Source organism: Homo sapiens, chromosome 13, assembly GCF_000001405.40.
Source record: "Homo sapiens chromosome 13, GRCh38.p14 Primary Assembly".
In the NCBI taxonomy this organism is placed as follows: domain Eukaryota; kingdom Metazoa; phylum Chordata; class Mammalia; order Primates; family Hominidae; genus Homo; species Homo sapiens.
In genome coordinates, this window is record NC_000013.11 from 28190427 (window position 1) to 28204992 (window position 14566).

Sequence of the window (14566 nt, forward strand, 5' to 3'; positions counted from 1 at the left end):
GGGGTGGGGGTAGAGATTGGGGGGTTCTCACTATGTTGCCCAGGTTGGTCCTTGAACTCCTGGCCTTAAGCAGTCCTCCTGCCTTGGCCTTCCAGAGTGCTAGGATTACAGGTGTGAGCTGCTGTGCCTGGCCTCTGCTGGATGTTTTACCACGGGAAAAGGGGTGTATTAGTCCATTTTGACACTGCTATAAAGAAATACCCGAGACTGGGTAATTTATAAAGGTAAGAGGTTTAATTGACTCACAGTTACACATGGCTGAGAGGCCTCAGGAAACTTAGAATCATGGTAAGTGATAAAACCATCAGATCTCGTGAGAATTCACTCACTATCACGAGAATAGCACGGGGGAAACCACTCCCATGATTCAGTCACTCCCTTAACACATGGGCATTATTAATATAATTTGAGATGAGATTTGGGTGGGGACACACAGCCAAACTATATCAAGGGGATTGGGAATTTTGTTATACAATGTTAACTTACACGTGTGGAGCACAAAAGCTGGTTATCAATAGGATGTGGCATTTTCAAATGCTTTTATTTCATAATAACCAGCAAGATGGGACTGGTCAGGCTATCAAGAATAGAGGATCAATAAGGGAATTTACCTTTTTTGGGGGACCACTGTGTTCATAAGGTTGGTCTAGGTAAGGATTTCTAGAAGCTCGGAAGGGAAGAGGAGTTGGTGCTTTTGTTTGCTCTGAAGGAGGGGCTTGGATCTTAAAGAACTGAAAAAACTTTAGTAAATAAATATTTCCCTTAAAATTGTGTTTGCCCTGTTTATTTTCTGATCTTCTCTTTAACCTCTTCCTTTCCCTTAGCACCTGCTTCCAGTTAATCACCAATAGTGGTTTTTAACCTACCAGATGTTGCCACAAGTAAGCTTTCACTAGTTCTCTATTTCTGTTATTATTGCCTCAAGTTCATATCCTTCTTTCTCGACTAGTGATTCGTAGCCAGGGCAGTTGTGTCTTTTTACCCCCAGAGAACATTTGGTAATATCTGGAGACATTTTTGGTTGTTACAACTGGGTACTTGGTGCTTAGTGGTATTTAGTGGGAGGATAGAGATGCTGCTAAACATCCTACAATGCACAAGACAGCCCCCCACAAGAAAGAATTATCCAAAGTCAGTAGTACTGAAGTTGAGAAACCCTAACCTAGACTACTGCCAGAGTCCACTAATTTGTCGACCTATTTCCACTTTTACTCCCTCTTCCCCAATTCTTCCTCCACACTGCCACAGACCTTCCTTTCTAAAATACAAATCTGATTTTGTCATTTATTCTTTACCATGGAATGATCCTCAGATTCCTTAGCTTAGGAAACAATATGTTTATATTTACTTATTTATTTTAATTTTTTTTTGAGAGATGAGACATGTCACTGCAGCCTTGACCTCCTGGGCTCAAGCGATGCTCCCACCTCAGGCTCCAGAGTAGGTGGGACTATAGGCATGGGCCACCATACCCGGCTCCTTTTTTCATTTTTTGTAAAGATGGGGTCCCACTGTGTTGCCCAGGCTGATCTTGAAGTCGGCTCAAACAGTGCTCTCATCTCTGCCTCCCAAAGTGCTGGGATTACAGGCATGAGCCACTGTGCTTGGCACTAAAACAATACTTTTTTTTTTTTTTTTTTTGAGACTGAGTCTCTGTCACCCAGGCTGGAGTGCAGTGGCACCATCTCAGCTCACTGCAGCGGCACCATCTCAGCTCACTGCAGCCTCCGCCTCCTGGGTTCAAGAGATTCTCCTGCCTCAGCCTCCTGAGTCGCTGGGATTACAGGCGCCTGCCACCACACCCAGCTAATTTTTGTATTTTTAGTAGAGACAGGGTTTCACCATGTTGGCCAGGCTGGTCTCGAATTTCTGACCTCATGATCCGTTCGCCTCAGCCTCCCAAAGTGCTGGGATTATAGGCGTGAGCCACCGTGCCTGGCCAATACTTTTTAAAAATTGCATTCAAGCTTCATCTTTTGTTCTCAAACTTCACCTTCTGCTAATGGTGAACTGCATACTTGTGGTTTCCTCTAAACACCATCATGTCTGTATACATAGTTTTCCCCTAACCTATACTACATACTTCCATCTCATATTTTCCTATCTAGGCACATTTATTCTTCCTTCAGAACTTTACTCAGGCATTCACTTTTCTCTGTGAAGCTACCTTTGTTTCTGCTCTATTCATACATGATTACTTATGCATTGTTATATCACAGTGGGTTGTGGTTTGTTTACATTTCTGTTACCTCCTAGCCTTTAATCTGTCTTCGAGCGTAAGGTGTGTGTTGTGTTCCAAATACTTAGAACAGTTCCTGATACAAAGTAGATTCTCAGATGTTTAGTTGAAAGTACATTTTTTTCTTCAGGGATTAATTAGTAATTTGGAAATTAGCTTATAGATGAGATATTGTTATAATTTACATTCTATGCAATAAAACTTTTCTATGTAATCTTTCGCCTCACCATCATGTTTTACATTGCTACCATCTCTTTTCAGATGTTATTTTGTATTTTGTCGCTTATAATGGTACCTTAAATAGTATTGATACCTTAGGGCAGGAGTGTCCAATTTTTTGGCTTCCTTGGGCCACATTGGAAGAATTGTCTTGGGTCACACATAAAATACACCAACACTAATGATAGCTGATGAGCTTTAAAAAAATGGCAAAATAATCTCAATGTTTTAAGAAGTTTACGAATTCTTGTTGGGCCACATTCAGAGTCATCCTGGGCCTCTGGTTGGAGAAGCTTGCTTTAGGATATTTTCATTTAGTTACACAGAGAAGATTTTACTTTTGGATTAGAGTTTAATCTCTGGCTATTTATTGAAAAAATTTAGGGTTTATAATGGCACATGTTTAGAGATCTCTTCTACCTATTGAGGAGAGGCTTTAGGCTAGTTAAGGGTTTTAGGGCATGGAGTGGAAGGAGAGGAATGATGAATTCCCTTTTTGAAATGAAGAAACGTAATTTAATGAGTGCAGTTAAAGAGGGAGGATGATACGTTGGATGTATTTAAAACCATTTTTGGGGACGGGCACGTGGTTCACGCCTGTAATCCCAGCACTTTGGGAGGCCAAGACAGGCAGATCACTGGAGCCCAGGAGTTTGAGACCAGCTTGGGCAACATGGAGAGACTCCCATCTCCACAAAAAGTATAGAAATTAGCTGGGCGTGGTGGTACACACCTGTAGTCCCAGCTCCTACGGAGGCTGAGGTGGGAGGATCTCTTGAGCCTGGGAGGCAGAGATTGCAGTGAGCTGAGATTGCACCACTGCACTCCAGCCTGGGAGTGAGACCCTGACTTAAAAAAAAAAAAAAAAAAAACCCAAGAAACAAAAACTAACCAAAGAGCAACAACCTTTTTTTTCAATGTTGTTTACTGTACTACTACATAGAAAGTGAATTGTATTGACTGTAATAACTGTGTCAAAAGTACATTTGAGGCCCAGTGCGGTGGCTCATGCCTGTAATCCCAGCACTTTGGGAGGCCGAGGCAGGTGGATCACCTGAGGTCAGGAGTTTGAGACCAGCCTGGCCAAAATGATGAAACCCCGTCTCTAATAAAAATAGAAAAATTAGCCAGGTGTGGTGGCAGGCGTCTGTAATCCCAGCTACTTGGGAGACTGAGGCAGGAGAATCACCTGAACTAGGGAGGCGGAGGTTGCAGTGAGCTGAGATGATACCACTGCGCTCCAGCCTGGGCGATGGAGTCTCAAAAAAAAAAATAAAAAGAGACACTGTCTCAAAAAAAAAAAAGTACATCTGAATTTGTGAAGGATCTGAATTACGGAAGACCTTTTAAAATAATTTTCATGCATTCAGATATATGACCTGGAATTTAGGTGTCCATGTATAAATCATTTGACAACCTGAGATTTTGATTAAGTAAACGTTCTTTGATATGTTGAACTTTCCTGATAGAACAAGGTTAATTTTAGCTCAGAAATTTTCTTAAATTTACATATATGTGTGTGTATATATATACGTGTGTGTGTGTATATATACATATATATGTATGTATATATATATATATATTTTTTTTTTTTTTTTTTTGTAGAGACGGAGTCTTGCTTTGTCACCCAGGCTGGAGTGCAGTGGCGTGATCTCGGCTCAATGCAACCTCTGCCTCCCAGGTTCAAGCAATTCTGCCTCAGCCTCCCAAGTAGCTGGGACTACAGATGCACACTGCTACACACGGCTAATTTCTTTTGTATTTTAGTAGAGATGGTGTTTCACCTTGTTGCTCAGTCTGGTCTTGAACTCCTGAGCTCAGGCAATCTGCCCATCTCCGCCTCCCAATGTGCTAGGATTACAGGCATGAGCCACCGTTCCCGGCCAAATATAAATTTTAAATTAGTAAGTGTCTAATTAGGGTTATATTACTGTATGTCAGAGCCTTGTAGTTTTCTATTTGAACACAAAAATGTACAATTTAATTCTTATACTCTTTCCAAGGAATTAAGTTACTAGAAATAACTTGCTTTAAAATTCTTTCACTTATAACGTGGTTCCATGGCATGAATCACTAAGGGTACATACTTATTCTTATTCACAAAATTTCCCTCTATGGCTTTTCTAAAGTATGATAGCAAATAAAAAAAAATGTTCCCTATGCTATAGACATAGAGAGTAACTAGATTGGTTCAAGATTGCATAAAGGTGGAGGTATGTTAGTCTCATAAAACTCTGTTCGTTAGGCTGATGTGGTGGCTCATGTCTGTAATCCCAGCACTTTGGGAGGTGGTGGATGGCTTGAGTCCAGGAGTTCCAGACCAGCCTGGGTGACATAATGAAACCCCATCTCTACTAAAAATACAAAAATTAGCCTGGCGTGGTGGCACATGCCTGTAGTCCCAGCTACTTGGGAGGCTGAGGTGGGAGGGTCGTTTGAGCCCCTGAAGCAGAGGTTGCCACTGAGCTGTGATTGTACCACTGCATTCCAGCCTGGGCGACAGAATGAGACACTGTCTCAAAAAGAAAAAAGAAACAAAACTCTGTCCACTGCCATAATTATTGAGTAAGTAGGCATTCTAGTTACCTTTCTCAATGCAAGTTTAGTTATTTTTGTCCTTGTTTTTTTTTGTTATTGTTGTTTTTTATTGTTTGTTTGTTTTTAAATTTGGGATGGAGTCTCACTCTGTGGCCCAGGCTGGAGTGCAGTGTCATGATCTCGGCTCACTGCAGTCTTTGCCTTCCAGGCTCAAGTGATTTTTCTGCCTCAGTCTCCCAAGTAGCTGGGATTACAGACATGTGCCACCATGCTTGGCTAATTTTTGTACTTTTGGTAGAGATGGGCTTTCACCATGTTGGCTAGGGCTGGTCTCGAACTCCTGACCTCAAGTGACCCACCACCTCGGCTTCCCAAAGTGCTGGGATTAAGGCATGAGCCACTGCACCCAGCCTTGTCCTCTTTAAATCAAAGACAGTATAGCAGATGCACACTTGTGGAGTGGAGAATCTAATTTGCATGGAATAATTTACATAGGCATTATTTGCAAGATTTTGAAATTTGGAAATTATGTCTTTTTTAAATTGGTTCTCTTTATACTAGAAAACATTATTAATATATTTGACTGGCTATAGGTTTTTTTTTGTTTTTTTTTTTTTAATAGAGACAGGGTCTTGCAATGTTGCCCAGGCTGTTCTGGAGCTCCTGGGCTCAAGTGATCCTCCTGCATCAACCTCCAAAGTGCTGGGATTACAGGCATGAGCCACCATGCCTGGCCAGCATCTTTTTTTGAAGAAACTTAATTTTAACTCTTTGTTTCAGCAGTCTTATACCTCATGACAGAACAATGAGTAAACATATATTTTCTTATTTCAGAGTTTAAATTAATTACCTTCCTAAGCATGAATTAGTGTTTTCTGAAGGGAAAAAATACATACAAGTTTTCCTTAAGATGCAGTCTAGTGCAAATTTGCTGTAATTAAGAGAAGTGAGATAGTGGAAACAAGCACTAATTTTCATGAATAAAAGTCCTGCTAACCACTATTAAGATAGCTTATTAATTTTCTTATAATGTTAGGCAAATAATTTATGATTTTATTGAATAATTTATTCATTATCAATCTGTTCATATTATTGAGATTTAAAAGACCAATTTGTGTTACTGTTTTGTTGTTGTTTTTTAGTCTGAGGTTTTTTTTTTTCATTGAATACTTTAGGGTGAATGCCTATTTAAGATAGAGTGAGTTGTACTCAAGTCTAACGTGCATAGAATTAAAATTTTTTAAAAATCAATTTATTAGGAAACAACTGCGTTTTTAAAAGTGGGTTAGTTCTCAGTAGGAAATAAAGTAACAAGATGGTGAGCTGAAAAAGTTGTAGTTTGGCGAACTTTATAAAAAAGAAAAATCTGTATTCTGTGTCCTTGAAACCATTTCTTCATATTGCAGTGAGAATAGGTAAGTGACAGTAGAAAAAATTTTGCAAAGCATTTTTCTTTGCTGATAAGTTAAATTTCTATTCATTAAGTAAAGTCGTATAAAATCAGATTAAATGTATTTTTCTAAAAACATCTGTTGCTTTATATAATATTCTTTAGCCCATTAGGAGTGTGGGTTATTTTGGAGGTGTGGGTTTGGTGCAGGGGTGGGAGGTGGTGGGTGGTGGTAAGGATATTAGAAGGAGTGTTTTAGAAACTTGTTTCCTATCCCACCGTTCCCAGTATCCTGTATATGTTAGTTATGTTAGTTTAGATTAGTGTGGGGGATGTTAGGAGTGGCCTGGTTTCTTTCCTTCTTTTTCCTAGCCAAGGAAGTATCGCCTGGGGATGCTGGAGGAGAGGCTAGTTCCGATGGGATCAAAGGCACGAAAAGCAAAGAACCCTATTGGCTGCCTTGCTGACAGGTGTAAATCAGGAGTACCCATCAATATGGTTTGGTGGAACAGAGTCACAGAAAACAATTTACAGGTAAAAATAATTTTTATTAGACATTTCTTGAAAGTGAATGTCTTGGCTGCTTTCTGTGTCTGTTTGGGGTGGTGGTTGTGAAAGGATTGGATGACTTAGCTGGTATACTTAGGTAATTAAAAAAATTTTTAATCAGAATAAAGTTAGTGACCCTTAACCAACTAAATGATTTTTTCTTGGTGGCTTTTTGAGCTTTTCCTCTTTGTAGAATATTTTACTTTTGTTTGTTTGTTTTTTGTTTTTTCAGACAGAGTCTCACTCTGTCCCCCAGGCTGGAGTGCAGTGGCACCATCTTACCTCACTGTAACCTCCACCTCCCAGATTCAAGATACCATGCCTCAGCCTCTCAAGTAGCTGGGACTGCAGGTGCACACCACCATGCCTGGCTAATTTTTTGTATTTTTAGTAGAGATGGGGTCTCGCCATGTTGGCCAGGCTGGTCTCGAACTCCTACCTCAGGTGATCTCTGCCTTGGCCTCACAAAATGCTGGGATTGCAGGCATGAGCCACCTCTCCTGGCCGAATATTTTACTATATTTAGTTAAATTTAGTTTTTCTGTTTTCAATTTTGTTAATACTTGAGTTCAATTATTTTTACTACCCAAGAGTTATTCAGGATAGGACTACATTGAAGAGTCATATAAGGCCGGGCATGGTGGTGCACGCCTGTAATCCCAGCACTCTGGGAGGCCGAGGAAGGCGTATCACCTGAGGTCAGAAGTTTAAGACCAGCCTGGCCAACATGGTGAAACCCCGTCTCTACAAATATACAGAAAAGAAAAGAAAAATTTTAGCCAGGTGTGGTGGGGAGCACCTGCAATCCCAGCTACTCGAGAGGCTGAGGCAGAAGAATGGCTTGAACCTGGGAGGCGGAGGTTGCAGCAAGCCGAGACTGCACCACTGCACCCACTCCAGCCTGGGCAACAGAGCGAGATTCTGTCTCAAAAAAAAAAAAAGAGTCGTATAAAATTTATTACACAAAGTCACATTTATTTGGAAATCTGAAGAACAAGATGCTTCATATGTTGTCTTTTTAACATTTTTACTAGGAAACAAAAATTATATGTAAACAAACTTGTCAAGAGTTGCTCTAAAACTAACTTCAATAGTATGTTGTCATAGAGTCATTACAAATACATTCCATCTTTGACTGTACCTTTTTTGTCAATACTGAATAATGCAAATGAAAATTTATGTCAGGTAGTTTCTATATAATATTTTGAAGTACCAACAAAAAAATTTATATGCCATTTTAATCTGGATTATAATTTTATTTCCATTTTTAAAAAATTGATAATTATTCTGTAATATTGTTTTATTAACCAAATTTCAATTTAGCCAGAGGTAGAATGTCTTTACTCCCAAACTTGCATTTAAAATATATCCCAAGGCAAAGCCTATAATCCCACATGTACATACCACACACAGAAAAGATATAACAAAGGTAACAAATTGGTTTTATTTCTGTTTCCAACCTTATGTTATAAATAGGTTCCACAGTATTTTGTTCTGTTTATTACTGATACATGAGTAGTATCTGTATTGCCTTGGGCATAGGAATAAATAAATTATTCCAAAAGTAAATATTGCAAAATGTAGTATTTGCTCCAGCTGATATTTTGGTAATATTTTCTAAAGATAAGAAAAGACAGGGGTTTCATATAACCATATGCTTCAAATTTCATTGGAAAGTTTTGGCTATGTCAATTATGAATAACAGTATAGTTTTTTTAACTGAATTTGCTTGTCTTTTATATCAGTAGTGGAGAGGTTTTTGATACGGGTTGTTACAATTAGTTTTTAGTTTAAAAAAGAAGGTCTGAAGAAAAAAATTGGACCACAGCTATTTAAGAGCAGATACAAGTGAAATTGGAATTACTTGTAGGTTGTGGGGGTGAAACACTTACCAATGCAGAGGTGTAGCCACTCGACCTCTCCACGACTGCCCCCATTATCCTGGTGGCAGTTCTGAGGTACTTTTTTTTTTAGAATAGCTTGAAAAATCTTTAGGTTGATTATAGTTATGTTTTATTTATAATTAAAATAGTAATAGATTTGCATTAATGTGTGAAATATTGAATTGGTGTTATCTGAATCTAATGTTTCCAATACTGTTATTTTATACTTCAGGTAGTTCTTTTCCTTTAAGGACATAAGGAATGCTGTACCCAAATTTAGAGCTTTATAATCTCTAAAATGTTTCACTTTACCAGGCACATGTTGAAGTACTGAAAAATACTCATCTCGTCTCTATTACTGTCTGTGTAGATTCCAAACTGGGGGTCTGGAATAGTTTATACAAAGCAAATAGTATGTCAATATATATTTTTGTATTGGAGTTTTTATCTTTTTCTTGTGAGAGAAAAGTAACTTACCAATTCCATACCATTTTTTTTTCCTTTTGTGTGATTAGAAAGTATTTTTAATATCGTTTTGTGTTTTCGACATATACTAGTTAAAAGAATTGTGTCAGGAGCATATTCATCTTTCCTGTTCCATTTGTTTCCTTAAATCTTAGGTCCTCTCAATCCTAGGGTCAGAAAAATGTTTTAAAATATTTTATGTTAATAATTATGGCTATGTTTCTTTAATGGTTGTCTTGTGCCAGGCACTGTGCTAAGCTCTTTACGCGTATTGTCTTTTGGTATTGCTAATAGCTTATGGGATAGATGTTACTGCTAGATGAAGAAACATCTTCAGAGAAGCTAAGTAGCTCTAAGGTTAAACAGTTAGTAGAGGAACAGATATTTGAGTCCACTTTTGTCAGACTCAAAATCTCTTTACTTCTATGTGCTGTAGCTCTAGTAACTACAGTTGGTTTAATTATCTAACTGGTTAACTGAATTTCTGCAGGACAGCTTTTGAGGATGAGGATGCATCCATAGTTGTATAGACACGGGCTGTAACTTACGTATGACTCTGCAGCATGTAAGCTCTGTCATTTTTCCTTGTGCTTCATCTTTTTCCTCTGTGCCATTTAACTACTTTTCTTTCTGGAACTTTAAACATTCCTTTACGTTCATTTCTTAATCTTGACCTAACATCTTGGTCTTTTTCTACTTCTGAAAACAAAGGAAAACCAACAAACCAACTAACAAGAAACTTAACAAAACCTTGGTCCAAGTTTCCGAGCTCTGATGGAATGCAGTCATTCATACTGCATTTATTCTCTTCAGTGCTGGATTTCTTTCAAGAGGCTTATGATTCCCTACCCTTTATTACTTAGTAATCTTTTAACTGATTTTTTAACCAAATACTTTATGATACGAAGGAGCCTGTCTGCCAAACATGGCATTTATTAAACAGTGATACATTTGAAAAATACATATGTGGAGCTGCTAATTAGAGAAACAGAGAAGCTTAAAATTTTTCTTAATCTTTTGTACGTTTGTAGAGGGTAAATTTATTCTTCATATGGCTGTTTGAGATATTGATAAGACCCATCTGATCTCCATTAATATGTTTGTAAAGTCCGCAGTCGGGAACCTTTGGAATGGTTTCCACTCTTTTCTCTAAATTTCCTTACCATCCATTTACTCCTTAAATGTCTGCAAACTGGTGTTACCAAAATTTTATTGAAATTGCTCTCAGAGTTTTCCAGGGATCTCCATAATTGCCAAATCCAGCAGTTTTATTGAGCACTTAATATTGCTGGCTACTTTTTTATTGTGAAACTCTCTCTGTCTCTCTCTCTCTTTTTTTTTTTTCGAGACAGGGTCTCTGTTACCCAGGCTGGAATGCAGTAATGCAATCATGGCTCACCTCATAGTCTCGACCTCCTGTGCTCAAGCGATCCTCCTGTCTCAGTCTCCCGAGTAGCTGGGACTGCAGGCACATATCACTGCACCCACCTAATTTTTTTTTTTTTTTCACTTTTTGTAAAGATGGGGTCTTGCCGTGTTGCTCAGGCTGATCTTGAACTCCTGGGCTCAAGCTATCCTCCTGCCTTGGCACGCCAAAGTGTTGGGATTACAGGTGTGAGCCACTGTACTGGCCATGAAATTTCTTTCTTTGCATTTTTTAATAAAAAAATTTTTATAATACAAAAAATTAGCCGGGCATGGTGGCGGGTGCCTGTAGTCCCAGCTACTTGGGAGGCTGAGGCAGGAGAATGGTGTGAACCTGGGAGGTGGAGCTTGCAGTGAGCAGAGATTGTGTCGCTGCACTCCAGCCTGGGCAACAGAGCAAGACTCCATCTCAAAATAGTAATAATAATTTTTTTTTTTAAGAGACGGGGGAGTGGGGGTCTCACTCTGTTGCCTAGGCTGATTTTGAACTCCTGGCCTCAAGTGATCCTTCCACCTTAGCCTCCCAAAATACTGGGATTATAGGCATAAACGACCACAACTGCCTGTCTTTGTACTTTTAACTCTTTGTTTCGTCCCTGGCTCCATGTGAGCTCCTGTTCTTGGTTCACTTGTTCTTTGCTTTTTCTTGTATGTCATTGATTCTGAAATGTTACTTTTAGAATTGTCTTCTGAGTTCAAGGCTCAGATTTTCTGTGCCTCTGATACCTTTGCATGTGGGTAAATATGCCACTCTCCCTACAAATCTGGAAAGTCTAGAAATACGGTTTAATTTTTGGTTTTCCAGATTTACTGCTTCGCATATATTCTCCTATACTCCTTCTTCAGTTTATGGCATTATCTTCCCTATCTCTGAGACTAAATATTCCTTCCTTGCCTTCTCTTTCATTCTACCTCTTATTTTTTTTTTCCCCCCTGGATTACTTTTTTAATCTAACACTTATTATAAGAAGGAAACTACTGTGCTTTGACAGATCATTAATTAAAATAGAATATATTGGACAGTGTACATTATAACAATAATCACATATTATCCCCATTTGACAACAGAATTGGGCCTTAGGAAAGCTTAATGCTGGTTAGTGGTAGAGCTGCAATTCTAGCCAAGATCTGTTCTAAATCTTGAGATTTTCCTGCTATATTATCTGTCTCTAATTCTTACTTTTTTAAAGTCTACAGTATCTTACCCCTCTTCCCTTTTTTATAAATAGTGAGATTGTTTATTCCTTACGCATATACAGCTTCTGAATAATTTTTGTCAATTTTTTTTAGGATTTATTCTACCTATCTGAGTTTATCTCTTCATATCCATCCATATATACTACATCCTAACCATATGAGGTCTTTTATGTTACATAAAATATAAAATACATTGTCAGTTCTCTGAACCATTGTTAACTGAGCCTGAAAAATCTTCCTTCTTTTTCCTTTAAGAGATGGCTCAAATACTACTTTCTCTGGGATTACTTGTATACACAGCAGGCAGGATAGAATATATATATGTATACACACACACACACACACACAATTTGTTTAACTTACTTTACTATTCCTAGTGTATTTGGTGTTTTACAGTTACTTCATTCTGTTTTGTATTAAATTTGTTTGCCTGTTTGTCTTTTTCTACTGGATTGTAAATACTTGAGGTTAAGCATGTGTTTATTTCTGTATCCTGAAGGTATTAGGTTGGTGAAAAAGTAATTGCGGTTTTGCCATTACTTTTAATGCAAAAACTGCAATTACTTTTGCACCAACCCAGTATTTTACTTGTTTTTAAATGCTACTGTTTAATTTTTTTCTTTCTTTCTTTCTTAATTTTTTTTCCCCCCAGACAGGGTCTCACTCTGTTGCCCAGGCTGGAGTGCAGTGGTGCAGTCTTGGCTCACTGCAACCTCTGCCTCCCAGGCTCAAGCGATGCTCCCTCTTCAGCCTCCCAAGTAGCTGGGACCACAGGTGTGTGCCACCATGCCTGGCTAATTTTTTTTTTTGGTAGAAACAGGGTTTCACCGTGTTGCCCAGGCTGTTCTTGAACTCCTGGCCTCCCAAAGTGCTGGGATTACAGGTGTGAGCTGCCATGCCTGACCTTAATTTTCTTTTATTGGGTAATATATGTAATTTTGTGGTAATTTATTTTAAGACTTTTCTATATTATTTATTTATTTACTTATTGAGACAGGGCCTCACTCTGTTGCCCAGGCAGGCATGCAGTGGTATCGTCATGGCCCACTGCAGCGTCTACCTCCTGGGCTTAAGCAGTTCTCCCACTTTAGCCTCCCAAGTAGCTGGGACTACAGGTATGTGCAACTGTGCCCAGCTAGGTTTTCTTTGTATTTTTTTGTAGAGACAGGGTTTCTCCATATTGCTCAGGCCGGTCTTGAACTACTGGACTCAAGTGACCCACTTGCCTCAGCCTCCCAAAGTGCTGGGATTACAGGTGTGAGCCACCACACTGGGTCTGGCTTTTCTGTATTTAAAAAAATTAATCATAGACTTTTTGGGGCTTATTTTGAAATGTTAGAGATCTTCCATCTTAAAGTTTAACATTATCCAAGTATTCTTGCTATTTTTTAATCTTTTAAGCCTTGTAATAGACTTAATTACCTCTTGACAGTGTTGTTTAGTGAGAAAGCGTCTCTGCTTTTCTTTTTTCTTTTCTTTTTTTTTTTTTTTGAGACGGAGTCTTGCTCTGTTGCCAGGCTGTAGTGCAGTGGTGTGATCTCGGCTCACTGCATCCTCCACCTTCCAGCTTCAAGCGATTCTCCTGTTTCAGCCTCCCGAGTAGCTGGGATACAGGCACACTCCACCACGCCCAGCTAATTTTTGTATTTTTAATAGAAATGGGGTTTCACCGTGTTGGCCAGGATGGTCTTGATCTCTCTATCTCTTGACCTCGTGATCTGCCCACCTTGGCCTCCCAAAGTGCTGGGATTACAGGCGTGAGCGACCACGCCCGACCAGCTTCTCTGTTTTATATTTTTTTCATCATCTCAGCCCAGACACCAAGCAGGTGGTGAATGGAAGATCACCTGAGACACCACATCAAAAACACTTCATTTCACCTAAGTGCAAATTCACTTTGATCTTTCCTTTAGTCTTTGCCCAGGATGTTTACCTATCACTGGATGGTTACCTGTCACTTTGCCTGACCAATCTGTATGTGAATTCAACATTTTCTATTTGTTCTATGACTACATAGTTCAAATTGCCATTGCTTGGGCTTGAAATATTTTATCACCTGTCCTACAGAGTTGTTGTGAGGATTCAAATTTCCAAGCACATAATAGATATTAAATAAATGTCCATTGTCCAGTTTTACCTTATCACCTTATCTCCTAAAGTTGATGTTTGTTTATATTTATTTAGAGTACAGCCTGCAGTTATATTCATATGTGCTTAAATCATGATATGTGTATAATGGGGCAGTGACACTTGGTCTCTTTTAAGGGCTCACATTTAAATGCTAACTCACTTGAATATTTTGAAAAATAAATGCTTTTTTTGAAAGGACAACTTAATGTGTTTTTTCCTGTGATTTTACATTTCATTTTGAATGAAAGGTTCTGGGAAATGTATGATTTTGTAAATTTCTCATAATATTGCAGGTTAAGATTTACCTAAAAGTAGTGATACATTAAATAAAATCACGCTAATTTTGTCTCAGACTTTTGAAAATTGTGTGGTTGTGAATCATAAGTTATAATATTACTATTGTTTTAGTGAAGTGATACAATTAAATAAGAACTGTTGGACTGTGCATGTGTTAGGGGATCCATTTGATTTCATTGTCTCCTTGTCAGCATCTCTTTTGATGCTACTTTTTTCCCCTTGTCTGATTAAATG

At 38.6% G+C, this 14566-nt stretch overlaps 1 protein-coding gene across 13 annotated transcripts in view; it reads left to right on the plus strand.

Annotated features, from left to right (window-relative positions):
- The window catches only part of PAN3 (poly(A) specific ribonuclease subunit PAN3), a 157143-nt gene that overhangs the window by 52234 nt on the left and 90343 nt on the right, over window positions 1-14566 (plus strand). For 8 of the 13 annotated variants that reach the window (XR_941549.3, XM_011535034.4, NM_175854.8 and 5 more), the window contains exon 5: window positions 6759-6920. The exons of 4 other annotated variants lie outside the window; for them this stretch is intronic. Coding sequence is in view for 8 of the 9 variants with exons in the window: in XM_011535034.4 (XP_011533336.1) it covers window positions 6759-6920 (162 nt within the window). In the remaining variant the exon portion in view is untranslated. Of the gene's footprint in view, window positions 1-824; window positions 882-6758; window positions 6921-14566 lie in introns of all 13 variants that reach the window. One more of the 13 variants, XM_047430251.1, reaches the window with a different exon arrangement.